This window comes from Homo sapiens, chromosome 6 (assembly GCF_000001405.40).
Source record: "Homo sapiens chromosome 6, GRCh38.p14 Primary Assembly".
NCBI classification, from domain to species: Eukaryota; Metazoa; Chordata; class Mammalia; order Primates; family Hominidae; genus Homo; species Homo sapiens.
Genome location: NC_000006.12, coordinates 61674327 through 61692943, shown reverse-complemented (window position 1 = coordinate 61692943; position 18617 = coordinate 61674327). Strand labels below are relative to the sequence as shown.

Sequence of the window (18617 nt, the reverse complement as noted above, 5' to 3'; positions counted from 1 at the left end):
AAACTAATAGCCTCAATTTTTAGTTTCCTGGCAACCCCCTAGACTTGGAGAGTTATGTGAGGAGTCTCAGAGTCAGTTGTCCCAGGCACCTTCCTCTGCAGCTCACATTGGCAGGAAGAACTGTGGGGACAAGTGAAGGCATTGGGAGAGGAAGAAGGAATGCTCTCCCGAATGGCAGGGTTCTGCATTCCAAAGACTCAGAGATGGAGCTTCTCATTTGGACTTCCTCTAGAAATGATTTGAAATAAGCCAGCAGAAATAAAAATTCAGTCCTTCAGTGGGACACTTCATTCTAAATCTTCATACATTATGTTTTGTGTATGAAAACTGAAATTGTATTTGTCTCCTTGGGGCCTATATTTTATCACTGAAATAATAAATATATTGACTTTGAGAAAATAATGTATTATTTTAGGTTTTATCACAGTTAAATTATTCAGGATCTTTGCAAATAATTTAATATTAAATATTAAACTATCTTGCTCATTATAATGTAAATAACATCTAAATATTAAAATTATAAATGACTTATTAACATATAATTATCTTATAAATATTAATGTTTAATGCATTGGTATTTATTAAATATTTAATTAATTTTCAATTGGTTACTATTAACATTTAAATATTACATTTCTCATCACTTGAATTTGTTTTTGGAGCATGAATATTTGACTTACAGGAATTCCAAATCAGTTTCTGCATTTTAAAAATATTTCTTAATTTATCAGAATCACTATAATTGTTTCAGATGAGTCAGAATGGCTTATAATTCACTAAGGCTGCATTTTAAATACAGTGCCTACATTAGCTTGGCTAAGCACTGCTTCACATAAGAAATACTCTCTAAGTTCTCTCTGAGACTGATAGCTAAGAATGGACAGAAATATTCTCTTCTCTGAGAAAAGAGCTATTTATTAAAATGTATTTAATGTATGAGCTAAAGAGTTAATTATGCATCCATTCTTTAGTGGCATTTTAGATGACAGCTGTGTGGAAGCAAGGAGGATAATATTAATACACTATCTTGAAATGAATGAAAGCAAAAAGAAATTTTGTGCCATATTCTAGGGCATTTGAGTGCCTCACTTCAAGTCAATTGTGGAACACAAATGTATTCATTTTGTGTTGAGGAGCTGGAATGATTATTTTCCCTGTGTGAAAATAAGGCCTGCATTGATTAATCTGTGAAAACAGCAAAGGAAAATGAAGTTAACTGGCAGTTGTGGCAGCCATTTAATTCAAGAACAAAGACTGTCTATTTTTAATAGTAAATAGAATATAAATTTGGGAAAATTGACTTACAAATGGAAATGAGATTTCTTAATATTGGCAATAATTTATCAGTCATTTAAAAATAATATATGCAAATAATTTATTTTTTCTGAGATTTATTGTATTAAAGTTGTTACATAATAGGTTATGGGGAAAATAGGACTGTGCTTTACTTTTCATATAGATTTTTAAACTTTATTTGTAATTAAAAGGAAGAAAGCCTAGTGAAATAATGCTTCTAAAGTATTTTAAAATTCATTTGTGAAATTAATTTTAAAATTAGCTTTCTCTTTTTGCTATTTCAGGGGTTGCCATTAGATTGATATCTAATCCAATTAGCCTTGGTAATAAGTGCAGAGCATGTTGCCTAGGCAAGAAACAATGAAAAAGAGCAGTGCACCACTACATCAATGCTTGTATTGCTTATTTTAGGTTCAAAGTATTTACAGTTTCAATTTTGTTTTGAATAATGCACTCCTTAATCCAACAGTTTTAGGTGAGAAAGAAATCTGCTATTGAGTGTTTCAGAGATTATTAACCGTGATTACACATTTTAGGATCACCTGTTGAGCTTTGAAAAAAATACGAACGTTCAGCTTCCATACCAGACTGGATCTATCACAACCTTTGGAGATGAGAACTAGCCATCAGAATTATCTAAAAGCTTCATAGGTGGTTCCATTGTAAGCTAAGGTTGAGAATAAGTTTTAGATAGCCACATGCATGGGGGCACATTCAAAGGATCCTATGATCTTAATTGGTAATATCCATTTTTTGATAATTATCTTTATAATTTCTCTTACAGTAATAAGACCAAATTGTACTTGAAGCCCTTTTATTTTTTCCTATCAGTATCTGCTTCTCATGACTACTGAAAGGATGAATTGCCAAACTGTGCCAGTCATTTGCATTTTTGAAGGTGATACATAACTTATATGCAGGCTCCTTTTATAACACTGGGTATTTTGTAATCAAACATTGTGTTTGTTAGAGAACCTGATATTTTAAGTCCACTTTATAAAAACTGTAAGTTTAAGTAGTAATAAACATAAGTAACTACCTTTTTGAACAATTGTGTGTTGAACAGTTAAATCTCAACCTTGACTTTTTAAAAAATTTACCCAACAGGTAGAGTCAACAAAAAATTATAGTCCACATGTGTTTAACAACTCTCTTGTTGAAACAATAAAACAAGCCATAGGAAAGGTGTTTTTTATTTTTTTAATCACTTCCTTTTCTGCTGAGTTAATGGCACAATCATTTTGGCTAAGAGGGAGGGGAGAGTTGAGTGACTTATTGTCGAACTCTTGGGATGAACAGATCATGTACAAGAAAGGATATTCAATAGGATATAGATTTATATTTAGAATATATGAAAAATGAATTGTTTATAAAGCACAAAGTACAGAATACAAAATATGAACATGGTGAAAAATTTTGCCCACTTGGAAGTATGCCAGCTAAGAAAAAAAATATATCCAGGGATATGCCACCTTAGGAAATCATTACAGAATTTCCAGAATTTGGGAGATTTTTATGTGTATTAAAAGAGAGCATGATTAAAAGAAAAAAAGACAAAATACGTTGGTCTGAAATAAATGTGCTACACTTGATTTATCAAGCATCATAATTTATTGAATGATGGCATATTTGCTAAGTATTTTGGACTAGAATATTGTTAAATGCTCTGGACTAAAACAGAATAGGCATTTTAAAAAACTATCACCACCACCAAGGAGTTTGAATTACAGGGATTCTTCCCAACATTGCAAATATATATGTATCTATGTATATCTGTATATATACATGTATATATGACTCACAATCAGTGTCTTCTTGTATTGAACAAATGACTTAACCGTACTGGTACCTTATCAAACCTTTAGTTCAATGGGTAACAAGAGATGCCAGAAAATAGACGAACAAAGACAACAACTAAAATAGTTAGATCAGTCTCTCTGAAGTTTGCGATTGTCCAGGAAGATCCCAGTAGAAGCTCCCTCATGCTCAGGGGAGTGCAGCAGCAGGTAATAGGCAGATAACTCAAGAGGCTTTTGGTATCCAGAAGTTCTGGCACAGATAGGTTCAATCATGGGCCAAGAGCTAAGATTTACACTTCTGAGAAGATTGGAGAGAGCAAGCAAAGAGACAAAGGGGATGCCCATAGATAGGCCAAACTTCACAAACTAAGGGCACAGTTTTCCACAAAATTTCCACAAAATTCTACTTCATACAACACTCACAAGTTTGGGGGACTCCAGGCTATTCTTACTTCTGACCGGCTGGCTACAAATTCGGGGGTTCCCACGGTCTTATCAAGTTTAATAATTTTTCAGAACAACTCAAAGGAAAAAGGAAAGTGCTATACTTATGATTATAGTTTTATCATAGCAAAAGGGTACAAATCAAAACCAGTCAAAGAGAGAGACACATATGACAAGAGCACAGTCTGAGAGGATCCCAAACATGAAGGTTCTGACAGCTGCTGGGTCACATTATCCTCCTGGCACGTCATTATGTAATAATAGATAAAAGTATTGCTAACCAGGGAAGCTCACAGGAGTCTCAGTGTCCAGACATTTTATTATGGTTTCATTGTATAGACATGATAGATTAAATCATATCAATATCCAGCCTTCTCCACTCCTCAGGTTGGGCTGATATCACATAGGCCAAAGCCCAAACTCTAATATTATGGTTAGTCTTCCCGGCATGACCATTGCCATCTTGAATCATCTCCTTAGTATAAACTATAAGGTGTGGTTGAAGGGGCTCACCATGAATAACAAAGACACTCCAATCACTTGGGAAATTTTAGGATTTAGAGCTTACCTCCCAGTAACCAGGGACAAAGACTAACTAAGATCTTTCACAAGTGGTGGGAGCCAATTTATCAACCTGGAAAAGCAGGGAAAGGCACACTGTGGTATAAACACAGGCACTTGCACTTAGAGTAGGTCATACAGAAAGATTAACATTTGTAGAGCTGAAAACCTGATTTTCTCTAATTGCTATAACTATGGCTCATTTCTGCTCTTAGGTAGAAAAATGAAGAATGTAGGGGGAGTAAGACAATCAGGTAACTACAAATGTAATCTCTGTCTATGAAGCTCTGTCACCAAGCCTACCTTCTTCACTGAGTTAAAGGGAGTATTGGAATTCTTTGAGAAGAGAATTATACCATATTACTTTATACCACCATTTTTATTCTCCCTTCTGTTATTCCTCATATTATAAACTCCTTATGTGCATTTCAAAAAGCCTCTAGCTGAATTCCGCAGTCTTTTGAATGATTCAGCATTTTATTTGACAATAATGAAAGTACGTTTTAGACTTTAGTCAGATAACCTTCTACATTGTGCCAAATTATCATTCACCATTTTTTCTGTATGTTCCATTTTGAAAATCCTTTCTCTAGCTAGCTTCTTTGTCTCCTTTTTATTTAAATGAGTTATTAACTCCATAGCAATAAGATAGACACACACTTATTTAAAAATGTTAAGAACCACTGGCCTGTATTATTCTACAGCTGCAGGATACTATACAGCAGAGTCAAGCATAAAATATGTTTGTTTAAATTTTAATGACATATATAATTTTCAATTATTAATGGATGATAATTAGAAATAAAATGGTACAGATTGAGTCAATTTATTAAATACAATAATGTATAGGACAGGGACTAGAACTGAATAGGCAATTTGAAAACACCACCACTACCACCAAGAAGTTTGAATTATGGGGATTCTTTCTAATATTGCAAATCACAGTGGCCTCACCTGGGAAAACAGAAGCTGATAAAAATTATGCATCACATGCAAAACTACCTGGAATATTGTTCTTGGCACAGCCTGAAGTTTGTCAGGAATATTTTTTAAGCTTCCTTGAGTTCACAATTAGAATATAGCAGTAATTCAAACCAACTAAGCTTAGGCACAGAAGATAAAATTGTGAAACCAGGTTATAATATGGAAATTAGGTATATACATAAAGTAAATTGGAGATATTAAGCACAATAATATAAAAATACAGAAAAGTTAAAAAATGGTTTTAAGATTGCAGAAAGGAATCTTTCAACAAGAAAAAGGCAGGATAGTAATGCAAATGCAGAACATCTGTAAGACTCTGGGAACTACCGTTCAAAAGTGAAGGAATCCATCTGAGGGAAGCCTATGGGTCTGAAAGGAAGATGCAAAATATTTAAATATAATTAATTTATTGAGTAAATGATTACTGAGTGCCTGCCATGTGCATGGTAAGATTTTAGGGTTGAGAATGGAGTTCAAAGAAAGGCTAAGTCCTTTGTTACTCTCTGAATGGATTATCCCAAGTGATACATTTTTTCTAACAGAGGACATCTAATTAAAAATTTGAAAGAGTGATAAAAGTTGTAAATGCTTCCCAGAAGCTGATTGAATTTTCTGAGAGGACAAATGATGGTGAACTCAAAGTTAGCAACCCTTTTTCTTGGAACATAATGCACCATGTTCATCTGTGAAAAGAGATGCTGGTCACCCATATTTCTCCCTCTTCTGTTACCCTCTGCATCTTAAAATAATAAACTATATAATTACAAATAGTGGGAATACATGTTGTACAGTTGAAATGGTTGAGCCATTGAGTTGCAAATTTCCATTAATATTTTAAAATGCTCAGAGCAGTGCAGAGAACTCTGCATTCCACTTTGGATTTGCACCTTCACAAATTCAGTTGAAGCGGCCCACATTCTTGCTAACAAAATTAAAACTACAGTAAATCTCATTTTTTTTGGCTAATTAATTGTTGTTGGAATCAACACTAATTATTATATAATTAATACTAATTATATAATTTAAGGGAAGTAAAATAAATTAAGTCTTGTTTTATAGGGGGAAAAAAAGAGGAAAAAGAGAAAGGGTTGGTGAATAGATAGTGAGACATTTAGAGACAAAAATTCTGTATTTTCCCAACAACTAAACTTTCTGAGTCATAGTTTCCTCAGCTTTAAAAAGAAGGTAGTGTCAACAGCTACCTTGTAGGAAAATTGTGATATTTGCTAATAATATACACAAAACACCTAGCACTGTGATAGGCCCTTCAAAGTTGTGATAGAGTTTTTTAAAATATGATAGGTGTTTAAACATTAAGTAAATAAAATGGATGCTATCATAATAGTGAGTTGCAACAATAGCAAAACATCTAACCTAACATATTCTTTGGGATTAAATAGCCTCAAAACAACAAACATATATTTGAAAGGTGCTTTCAAATAGAATAATACTCCTTAGAAACATCAGAAACTTAGCTGAGATGAACAAACTGAGTGGCTCAAAGCCAGGATGAATTTTAATCAACCATGTCGTAATGCCATTATATGATTTGCAAAGCAAAAACACTAGCGGTTTGTAATGGTAGAGACTAACTTGGGTTTCCTACTTTAGTTGTGATTTTTGCATATTGATTTACAGTGTACCAAAAATCGCATGAGCTTCCTTCGTTTTGCTGTGGGTTTAACAAGCTTCTTTTTAGATTCTTTTCCATATTTCAGATATACAGACAAATAGCTATCTAAGATAGCAAAATAAGAGTATCATGACTGCACTCAGTAAGCTCCATGATCTCCTTTATCCTTTCTGAACTGATCTCTAATATTAATTTCCTCTTAGGTGGCATTTTAAAACTACTTCCTGAAAGATAAACATTAAAAGTTTGCTTTCCAGATACTTAAATAATGTCAACTTTTCCTGAATTGACCCCTCGTTCCTATGCTTCATGTTTTTCCCAACTACCTCAGTATCTCTGGAACTATCAGAGAACACAGTTTTGCAACTTTAAAAATCATCCAGATTTTTCTTTCCCACTGTGAATGCTCCCCAAGGTACCTGGTCCCACTGCAGAAATAAGAACACATTGACAAATGCATAGCACTTAATAGGCCTCATTTCGCACAGTATTTGAGATACAGAAACTTTTGAAGTCACAGTAATATTTAATGCACAGGAGTTACCTAGGTAATTTACATTCTTCTATCACAGTCAAATGTTCCTCAGTGACGCTGACTACCATGAAATAGAGATGCACTCTAGGCAGTCTGTAAAACCTGATTCACTGGGTAAAATAGCAGCCTAAGTTAATAAAAAACAGATAGAACTTTTGAAAGAAATATTGACATATACTGTATACATGCAACATGACAACCTAATTGCTAATAATGCCTTTCTGAAAAGTTCTATTTTACTTATTTTGCATAATTGGTTTGAAACCCCTTTTTTATTTAGTAGCACCATTTATTTATATGCAGCTTACAAATATTCTTATTTGCTCTTATTCAGTGTCTACCACTGTAGACGATTTCTCCTTTCATAGATCTTAGAGTCCAGTTTAGAAACAAGGCCAGATAATACAAAATAATTAACACAGGAAAGTCTTTAAAGAAAGTGAATTCTCTTAGATAAGTTAAACAGCACCTGTGTTCTTACTAAGTATATTTGCTCAGAAAATCTCTTCTTTGAGATGATTAAATGTTAGAGTTCAATGCAAGTTCAACTGAATGATGAAAGTTAGACCTCCCTTCCCTGTGCTTTCCCCAGCATTTTCTTAAAACATCAATTAAAATTGTGTCATAACCTATGAAATTTCAGGTTCATTTTTTCCTGTGTCTTTTATGGGCCCCTTAAACTGTCCTTATATGCAGGACATAGTATAGTAACTGGCATATAGGAGATCTTCAATAAATAAAAAATGTGTTTAGTGATGCTTTATTATTCATATAATAAATATAAATTTATCTAATATTTCTTATAATATATGATACTTTAAAGCCTGAATTGGAAGCCAAAAAAGGGTGGCAATTGGATCAAGTCACTTAACTTCTGTTTCTCATATCCTGATTTGCTATTTTCAGATTCACAATTATGTAACCCATTCCATAATTTCAATTTGGCGTATAGTTATTTGGTACCTTTTTTGAGGAGGAATTTGTTATTGGATTAATTCATAGCCTAGCCAGTGCTTCTCATGTGACAATGATCCTGATATTGAGAGAATCTTACTTATTTTATCATTTCCCTAAAGGATAAAGAAATTTCTAAATTTCACTGGATGCAATGAGTTTTTAAATGACATCTTAGACCACACCATGGGACTAGAAAAAAACAGGACTCTAAAATTCGTAGGAAGGCTTTAAATATTTAGAATCTGCTTGTCTACTGAGAGACCCAAGAGGACAGATAAATTCTAAGTTCATTCGTGGGTCTTTACAACTTCAAATTTCAGAGAAACTCCCATCATGAGGAACCCAGTCATGATTTGTCTCTCCCTATGTTTGGGCCTCTTCCATGCTCAAGGTTCCATGGGACTCAGGTTAGAATCCCTTCTATATGTGGTACTTGCAGTGAAGAAATCCAGAGGCCTAAATATCGCTGGTGAGCAATGAGGGGCTTGGCCAACCATATAAAGTTCAATGACACACTCTATGGTGGCACTGGAAAAACGTTCATTGGTTCAGTACTCTCCAATCTCAATCCAAAGAACATATTTTCACTAAGAAAAACTGACGTGCATTATCATGTGGCAATTGTAAATGTGTAACTATACATAAACATTCTGATATTAGGAAAGATAAAGATGGACACAAATAAAAATAATACTTTTCCTGATCTCTCTTTGCTATTGTTACCAAGAACATGTAAACAATGGAAGCAAGGTCTGAATTAAGTGAAATAAGTCCTTAATTTCCTCTGCTAATGGTATGGAATCTTGGAAAATTAGAAACTTACTTTTGCTTGGATAGGAAATCACTTTGGCTGGCGATTTACTTTTCCACGTACAAGTATCATGAACTAACAATAATTTCCATTTTCCTAGCCTTGAGCAAGGAGAAAGAGCATAGTATTAATTCACATAGAAGCAGAGCGTTATAAAAGAGCACATATTTGTGCCATGAAATATGATACTTTTGTACTTTTTAATAATGAGATCGCACTACGATTACTTCATTGAATTCAATAGTGAAATATTTTTGATACTTAGATAACCCTTTTGAGTAAGAAGTCTGATCTTTAACTCTATAACAAATATATAAGATTTCTAATTAAAGAGTTTTTTAAATAAATGTTAAATTTCTTTAGCTCAACTGTTTCTGTTTTTTGAATTATCACTGGAACTTTCTGCATAGTTCCCTTGTTCATTCATCCATCCTTTCTTTCATGTAACCTTTCACTACATTCAGCCCTAACTAGGCATTGAATTTCTCCCAGGCACTTGGGAAACAACAGTGAATAGCAACAGTCCCTATTCTAATGTTGGCTAACATTTAGGAAATGAAGAGTTTTAGCTCATCAATTAACTGCCCTAGAGATTTAGAAAAAGTCAACTGAAGCCAAGTTGATGAGTAGTTATTAAACACTTATGTCCTCTGTAGCAAGTCCCTAGGTTTATGTCAATTTAAAATTCTGAAAAAATCTGGGAGTGTATGTGACAAGTATTCTGTCACTCCGCTCATGATTGTTTAGCTGTTTTTCAGGAACATTCAGAATCTAAAAAAGGACCTGGGACTTCTATTTCCTGGGAAAACTTGAAGCCTCTATTGTCTCAGCTCTTAAATCCTGTAGAGTGAAACCCAGGGATTTCTAACACTCTGGAATAATTGGAGCAAAAAGTAGTACATTCTTTTTGTTAAAAACCATGATAAATTGGGATACATTTTACCATCAGAGGACAAAAACAATGATATAGCCTGGATTATCTCATAAACGTGGTGTAAATATTCATTTTACATAAGGCTAAGAAGGTACTTTCAAGCTTGCACACACTGAATGTGTTTTCCCTTTGAGTACACCAAAAACAGTTTTATTTAGTTCCAATCAAGCAAATACATGGAATTCTTTTCATTTTTATGTTGATAAAGTCAAATGGTTTGGGGATAAATTCCTGCCCTCAAAAGATTACATCAGAAAGACCAACATCTGCATTTTCCCACCAAAAACAACATGGTCTAGAGCACAGATCTGTAAACTTTTTCTGTAAAAGCCCAGAGTATAAATATTTTAGGCTTTTCAAGCAGTATAATCTCTATCACAGTTACTGAACTTTTCCTTTGTATCGTGAAAGCAGCAATAGACAATATGTAAATAAACAGCATGCCTGTGTTCCAGTAAAACTATTTATAAAACAATCAGCTGGCCAAATTTGGTTCACAGGCCAGAGTATGCCAACCTCTGATCCAAGTAAACCTGTATTTTGAGCAATGGGAACATTTGTTATATTTATTTCTTTCTTACTCCTATTTTATATCCTATAAAAGACTAAACAGTGAAAGAGATATAATTTTTTATTTATTATCAGGTATCAGTTGTAATAATAATGCCCTGGTGAGAATATTCTCAAAAAACTAATATTTGTCCACTTAAGTGCCATTTTTCCCAACAATGATAAACTTTTGATCATTTTTCTACATAGTAGATTGTTTTCATTTGCTCTATATTATAATGAGTACAATTGAAATTTTTTATGCTTTTCTAGTAGTCTTTCTCAACTAATTCTTATGATCGGAGGAACTATCTGGGGGCAAATGCCCTACATTAGTTGCCCTCAATCTGCAATTGTTTCCCAGTTAATATTTCCATTTTTTTATATATCAATTATCAATATCTATGCGTCTCTAGTAACCTTCTTTCCTTTGTCTGCACCTCCTTTTACACACCCATGCATGAAATCTGCTCTTGATGAGGAACTAAATTCTGATTGAGAGACCAAAATAACCTAGTTGCTGGAATCACATAAAATGTCACCATAAAGCCAACATTGAGTTATTTTAAAGAAGAATTGCATTTCTTTTCTGGGGACACAGATTTTACAATAGCTATTTTCCACAGTACTCAAAAGCTTGGTTACTTGTTTCTTGCTTTTTTGGAATAATAGATTTCTACTACCCTCAATGTTTTGGAACCTAGCCAAAATTAGCAGGTAAATGGAGTTTTCCTGGTGTACTAATACTTCTTTATTTACTGAGTTGTTTACTTGGAAAAACTGATATCTTTGTGTTTTGTTTTGTTTACTGATTTTGCTGCTTAAGGTTTTTTCTACTCTATATTCTGCTTGTCTCTCACTTTCTCTATACAATTTAACACAATGGATCTCAACCCTGGACCATATAACTATCATCTGGGGAGTATTTGAAAAATACCAAACCGTAGGTCCCAGCCCATAGAGTTTTCTAATCAGTAGATTTGGGGGACAGAGAGCAGGTGTTAGTTATCTTTTATTTTGATTGTTTAATATTTCCAGGTGATTCTCAAGTTATTCAAGGGCTAAGGACTACTGGTTTCCTATATCCAATTTATTTATTTATTTTTAAGAATTCTATGTAAAAAGATTTTATGGGCAGGGGTTTACATTGATACTCCTCTTTCTATTTTGTGGCATTTAAATCTAACACATAATAAATACACAGTACACATTTATATACACACACTTTTTTGATGGTCTCACGATGTGGAAAAAATAGGCTTTAGCGTTCGGTGTTGAGATCTTTTGTTTTCTTTTTCTCGGTCAACTATTGTGTCTTAAATGACTATTTTTGGTAACTGTGAAGTCATGTGTGTGTTACTATCTTTCTCTTTTTCACAGCACCAGAAGAATGGGCCACAACCCGCTCTAGCTTGAAGGCACCACCGCAAAGGTCAGCCAGAGGGGGATACAGGGAACACCCCTATGGTAGATATTGAAGGTCCTTCCCACCTGTGACCTCACCTCAAAGACAATTCATAGCCTGTGGTCTCCACATAAACAGCAACAAGACAAGTAATAGTCCTTTTTTTGTTTGTTTGTTTCTATTCTAGGGATAACTGCTCATGATTACTCCCATATATTTCTAGTATTTCCCTCTGTACTGTTGGCGTGACATTGACACTAGTATTATTTTACAAAACAGACTGAAAAAGACATTAGCAAGCATAGTCTATAAACCTTTCAGTAGGATGATATTCTCTTGGTTGTTTTTCATTGTTGTGTGTAATCTTTTTTTTTTCTTTTTCTTTTTTTTTTTTTTGAGGAAAAGCATGAATTTGTTAACAGATTTTGAGTCTCAACCAACTAGCAGAAACTTTGTTTAGGGTTGCTAAAAGACTGTAATATGATTTTTGAACTAGCTGATAATAAAGTTGTAGATAAGATGTTTTAACCTGTCTTTTAATATCTGTTAGTTAGACAAAGATGTTTGATATTAAGTTTGTAAATTTAATTTTAATGCTGTTTTAATGGGGTTGAAAACAAGCAGCTACTGTATGTATGTAGCTAACTGAATTTGTTCAGTGTTTTAACCTGTATTTGTTAAAAAAGAAAAAAAAACACACATAAAGTTCCATGTGTAAGCTTCTCTAAATAGGAAACCACAATTTGTCAAATATGTTTGCCATAATTTGTCAATAAAGCTGAAAACTTTTGTAAAAATTAAATTTGGAATTACTTGTTTTCTAGCTTTAAATGCCTGCTTTATTTCTTCTTCAAGAGATGCCTAAAATGTTTTCTATTTAAAAATTACAAAAATGAACCCAAGTCTGTTTTAAGATATTTGTGTAATACTTAAAAATGTATTAATAACTTATGGTTGTTAAATAATTTAAAAGTTAACAAACTAAACTGTTACATGAATCATGGTTAGTAAACACTAATGTATAACATGTTAATGGAAAAAAATGGATTTAGAATAATAAATGGATTTTAAACTATCCTCTAAGCTTTATCTTGCTAAACACAAATTCTGATTGACTTGTTTGCATTAGCATGTCTCTCGTGAGAAAGAGTAATGGAGTATAAAGAGGTAAGATTACCACTTACCACTGTCTAAATGCCTAGTTCTTCAACCTTTGAGTTTCCCCGCACATTAAATATCCCATCCAACATGTAAGCATTGCGTAGATTCACTTTATTGTTTTCACTCAAAGGAGTGCGTGGACTTCATTCGCGTAGTTTATAACAATTTGTTTTGACAAACAAATCATCAGTGTCACTGGCCAGTTGTTGCTATTCAACCTCAAAAACTTTATTTGTAATTTTCAGTGCTAAATATCACCGCCCTAGAAGGCAGTTTAGAGGGCTGATATTTCTTTTGAGACTATCAGACTTGATGGCTGATGATTATTAAGGAAATATGTCGCAGGACTCAAAGGATGACTAAACGTTAAACAGGTAACACTAATAGTAACTCTGTAATTTTGCCTATGCAACAGTAATGTTAAATATTCTCAGTTATTAAGTTCCTGATAGTTAAAAAAGTAAACCTACAAAAATATAACAAATAGGTCTATAGGCTATTAAAACAACTAATTAAAATTAACTAGAGGCACCAAAATTATTTGACATTATATAACCCTCAAGGCAATAAACAGAACTAAAATTAACAATAATAGTAATGCAACTCTTGCTAACTTCAAATGTAAGCTAAATTTTGATGGAAAAAAAGAAAGTGAAAGACTTGATGCTAGGGATGAATGCCAAAACTGTTAATCTTTTAAATACAGTTTTTTTGTTTATGGTGGCTTTTTGTCGATGTGATTGGTTTACTTTTTTGCTGCTAACCAGCTTAGGCATATTGCTGTTCAGTTTTTGCAGCTGGAGTTGCATGCTAATCGTATTATGAAGTGTGTGTCTGTCATCAATTAAAATTGTAAATATTTGCCTTTTACAAAATGCTGTTGAGTTATATTTAATTTTCTTTTTCTATTCCTTCTCATTATTTCAGGTACCCACAAACAAAGAACACATAATTGAATAACCGATGTGATTTGCTAAGAAGGATGGAGGTAAGCTTATTTTTTGTCTTATTTGAAATAGATAATCTCATCAGCATGAACCCATGATAAAACGTGAAGCTATAGTGATGAGCTAAAACACCTAATGCCACTTGTTGAACTACTGAAAAGGCTTAGGTTGTTGTCAAGAAATTGAAGTATTTTTTGTCCTCTTTGAAATAAAGTGGCATGATTTAGTATTTACCTGGCAAGACTTTGTGAATTTAATCAGAAGCTTGTCAAGTGAATTGTGAATTAGTAGTTAATCTTCTGCCTTTTTCTTTGCTATGAACTACTATATTCTACCTCTCCTTAGTTTTACAAAGAAAGCGCAATAAAACTTGGTTATAGGAGAAGGAACTCACAATCATTGGCTAAAATAAAGGGAAGGGACAGGGTAGTCCCTGACCAACTCCTTACCTATCCCTTGTCAATAAGAATAAAATAAAATAACTAAACATTACCATTATTTTCCCCAGTTATCCCATTAGACTGATCAGTAAGCTTTTTGCTTCTCATCCAGCATTCCATTTTATTTAGCAGATAGTTACGGAGTAAAATCGCTGTTTGAAATTGAGACTTGGTTTCCGTACACGAGAAGTTGAAAACTTTAGCCAATAAACTTCAACTGAAAAGAGTGCAGGGACAGTTATGAAATCCACAGGCTGAGCTGATGCTCAAAGAACTGAAATGACTTAGTGTGATGTTTAACGCAGGGTTTTAAACCCCAAGTTTTAATCTTCTGTGTCTAGTTCTGTTTTTACTACATAAATATCCATAATATATGTTAACTTTAATGATCGACTTGGTCTGATGTTTAAAGCAGGGTTTTAAACCCCAAGTTTTAATCTTCTGTGTCTAGTCCTGTTTTTACTACATAAATATCCATAATATATGTTAACTTTAATGATCGGCTGTAGGAGAGCTATGAGAGAGCCTGGAGATTCCTTATGATGGGGGAAAAGGGGGCAGTGACAGAGACTGAGAGAGATATGAGGTGGAGTGGAAGGAAAGGAGTAGCTCATTCGCTGTGAGGAAGGCAACACCTCCTGGTGAGGGGAATAGGCTGTCTCAGTTTGTGCAGCTGGAAAAATTCAATGTGTTTGAGAGGAAAGCAGAAGCCCAGTGGGCCCTGAGGGGCAGACTTACAAAAGTACACAGAGAAAAGGCAAAGCCTGAAAATACTATGGGTTCAAGTCAGTTCCCAGTTGTCACTAAGTGCTGTGTTGAATTGTTCAAATTTTATAAGGAAAAGGAAGAAGAAGCTATTACAGGTTTGAAGTAAAGAATGAGTGCTGTTCCTAATAAAACTACCCCCGTAAGACAAGATAAACCTCACATTTAGTCAATTTTATCATTACTAACTGCCCCTTCACCTGAGACAGCTTTTCTAAAATTCAAACTCTTAAAACAATTATTTGATACTGTATTGCTTCAACTAAAGTTCTTTTCTCTGCAAGATTGCACATCAAAAATTACAGAGTTAAATTCTGAAATTTTACTTATCAGTAACATTTCATATATATTTGAGTATAAAAATTGTCACTATTTTTGTAAAGCAAGAGGAAAAAGAATCTCTCACCCAGACATCCTACTCATTATTCTCTTTTATCCATTTCAAACAGTGGGCTTGATCTGATAAAGCAATGAAAGAACAACCAGCTATAGGTTGTTATTCTTTTGATGTGTTAATCAATATGACTTTTTATTCACTGTAATTATTTGATTGTTGTTGTGGTCTTATAAACCTATGACTCTCTCACCATTCAGACTAGATCTTTATATGCATTAACTCAGGGCAGGGTTATCGCAGCAGAAAAATTAGTGTTGAACAAGAAAAGAGAACATTATTTTTAAGTACAAAAACAATGATTTGCAAGAAAGGGAATTTTGATTTTCAGATAACTTCATTTTGAGTAACGTAAGCCTGATTTACTTTGAACATAAAGTTTATGCATTAAACAGTAGATATAAAAGACTTCTACTACCTACCTACATATGTCTGCAAGATAAAGGTTGTCCAGGCTCAGAAGAGAGCTCAAGAGGCAGCAATATCTAAAATATTAGCATGGCCTTTAATATGGGTTCTATACACTGTGTCACTTATCCAATAAAAGCCTCAGATGGGTTTGGAACACAGAGAGGACCTCTGACTAAAGGGGAGTCTGGGAGGCAGCAAGCCTCACAGAGTTGTCCACACCACTCTGTGTGAGGCGCAATCCTGTAGAAGTATCTATAGGATGTTTCACTGCACTAGCAAGAGTGAAGCAAGTCTGGCAGAGAAAACTGCACACACAATTGCTTTCACAGGAAGGCAGGGAGGATGCAGTAGCTTCAACATAGACCAGTGCTGGCCAGGATGCAGATGTTGTCAGTGGACACAATAACATGGAAAGGTGAGAAGATCAGCTGCTCCCTGCCACCAGTGCCTCCAGAACTTAAATCCAAGCCAGGAAAAAGAGAAGGGGAAAAATAAATCCCTGACAAAGGAACTTCTGATCAAAATTAATCTGAATTGGCTGGGATGATTTTTCTGCACTCAGCGGAATGGAGACTTAAGTTTGAAATCAAGTTAAGGTTTAGAAAAATATAATTATATATAGCAGAGACATTTATAGGCAAGTCATAACTTGCCTCACTCTTAAAATAATCATAAATGAATATGCTAGGCTTCTCCAGAGACAGAGAGTGATAATTTCTTTAAGTTAGTATCCTTTTAGTGGCAACTTTTATTTGAACAAAAACCATCAGCAAGTAGTCCTAACTGGCAAGCATATGCACGAACAGAGGATGCCTTCTCTTGTCAGTATCAGGAAACAATGCTGGTCCCATATGGGTTCATGGCATCATGTCTGCCCTCATGATCTTCAATGTGATGGCTCCCAAAGTTGTCAAACATCATGTCTGACATCCACCTCATGCAAGTGACACAAACTTGCATGGCATTTTAAGGTTTTTAGATAATAGTGCAGCCTAAGCATATTTTAAAGTTATCTGTATGCGTGGTCTATGTATATTTTCAGATAATGCTCTAACTCTTGGTTAGATGATCCCATAACAACTGGAAACCTCACTGAAAAATCAAATTAAATAAACAAATCAGATTAGCTAAAAACTAGACAATCAGACTAACTAAACAAAGTATTTTAGTAATAATAAAATTAAGAATAAATTATTTGTGCCTACTAATATCTGGGCAACAAAAAGTATTACTGAACTCAAATATGATTACATCAGAATCAATTTGATGCCATTTAGGAAACTGAATAGTGGTGTCCTGAGGTCTTATAGTGCCCTGAGGTCACTATGTAATATTTAGATAATATTTAATGTATATTTAGATAATTTTCACTTTTAGTATACAGTATTAATGGAACTGTGACCATTTAGCTTAATAACCGTTGAAGCACTAACAGTTTTTAAATAAAGTTGTCACAAAATGATATTTAGATAATATTTAGTGTAATATTTAGATAATTTTCACTTTTAGTATACCGTATTAATAGAACTGTGACCATTTAGCTTAATAACAGTTGAAGCACTAACAGTTTTTAAATAAAGTTGTCACAAAATGACATATGAAAGGTTATCAAGAATTCTTTGAAAGGAAATTATTTTTAAAACTATGTTATTAAATGATTACTCTTGTTCTTTTAGGTCTTTACATGAAAATATATAGACTAGTATTTTAAAAGCTACAATGCTTTTTTAAAATGTAACTTTTTAAGTTTGACTAATGAGTAAAAATATATAGTTAGAAGAAATAAGACCAAGTGTTTGATAGATCAGTAGGGTGACTGTGGTTCATAATAATCTATCATACATTTCAAAGTAGCTGGAAGAGATTAATTCAAACATTTCTTGCATAAATAGAGACAAATATTTAAGGTGGTGGACATCCCAATTACACTGATTTGATCTTTACAAATTATACGAACATATTAGATTATCACCTGTACTCCAAAAATATGTACTCTATTACATAACAATAAATAAAATTTTAAAATGTTACTCCTTATATCATTCTCTCTATATTTTCGTTCATGTAATACCGAAGTTTGTAGGGTTGTTTTGTCTTGTTTCTAAAGGGAAGAGAGAAAAGTGATCAGTAATTTGAGCTGGCTGAGTATCACATACAAAGTTTCAGTATCAAAAGGCCTGTTGCTAAAACAATGTTTAACTTTTACTGCAAAAAAATCATGTAGTAAGTAAATGATTGAAAATACTGAATTGTATAGTAGTTGTTAAAGTTGATTACATGATTTATGATTGATATAAGGGTATATAGCATTAATAACAATAATGATAGTGGAATCTTCTGGTTTTTGAGCATATATGCTGGACAAGTTACTAGAATTTTCACATAAAAACTTACTTGAAGCATCTGTAATTCTTTGAACAAGAATGCAAATGAAGTATAATTAAACTCATTTTACAGAAGAGGAAGTAGTGTCACACTGCTAAGATGTATAGCAAAGCCAAAATTTAAAACAAAGTTTGATAACCCACACATTTTCCAAAATACTGTGGAGTTTTCTAACTGAATAAATTTGATCAAAAAGAGGAGACAGA

The 18617-nt window shown here is 33.5% G+C and overlaps 1 protein-coding gene across 7 annotated transcripts in view; it reads left to right on the top strand.

Moving 5' to 3' along the window:
• The window catches only part of KHDRBS2 (KH RNA binding domain containing, signal transduction associated 2), a 743556-nt gene that overhangs the window by 593282 nt on the left and 131657 nt on the right, over positions 1-18617 (top strand). For 4 of the 7 annotated variants that reach the window (NR_146870.2, NR_146873.3, NR_146874.3 and 1 more), the window contains 2 exons: positions 11884-12057; positions 13997-14057. Coding sequence is in view for 2 of the 7 variants with exons in the window: in NM_152688.4 (NP_689901.2) it covers positions 11884-11981 (98 nt within the window). In the remaining 5 variants the exon portion in view is untranslated. Of the gene's footprint in view, positions 1-11883; positions 12984-13996; positions 14058-18617 lie in introns of those variants that run through there. The other 3 variants (NR_146872.2, NM_152688.4, NM_001350622.2) reach the window with 1 other exon arrangement.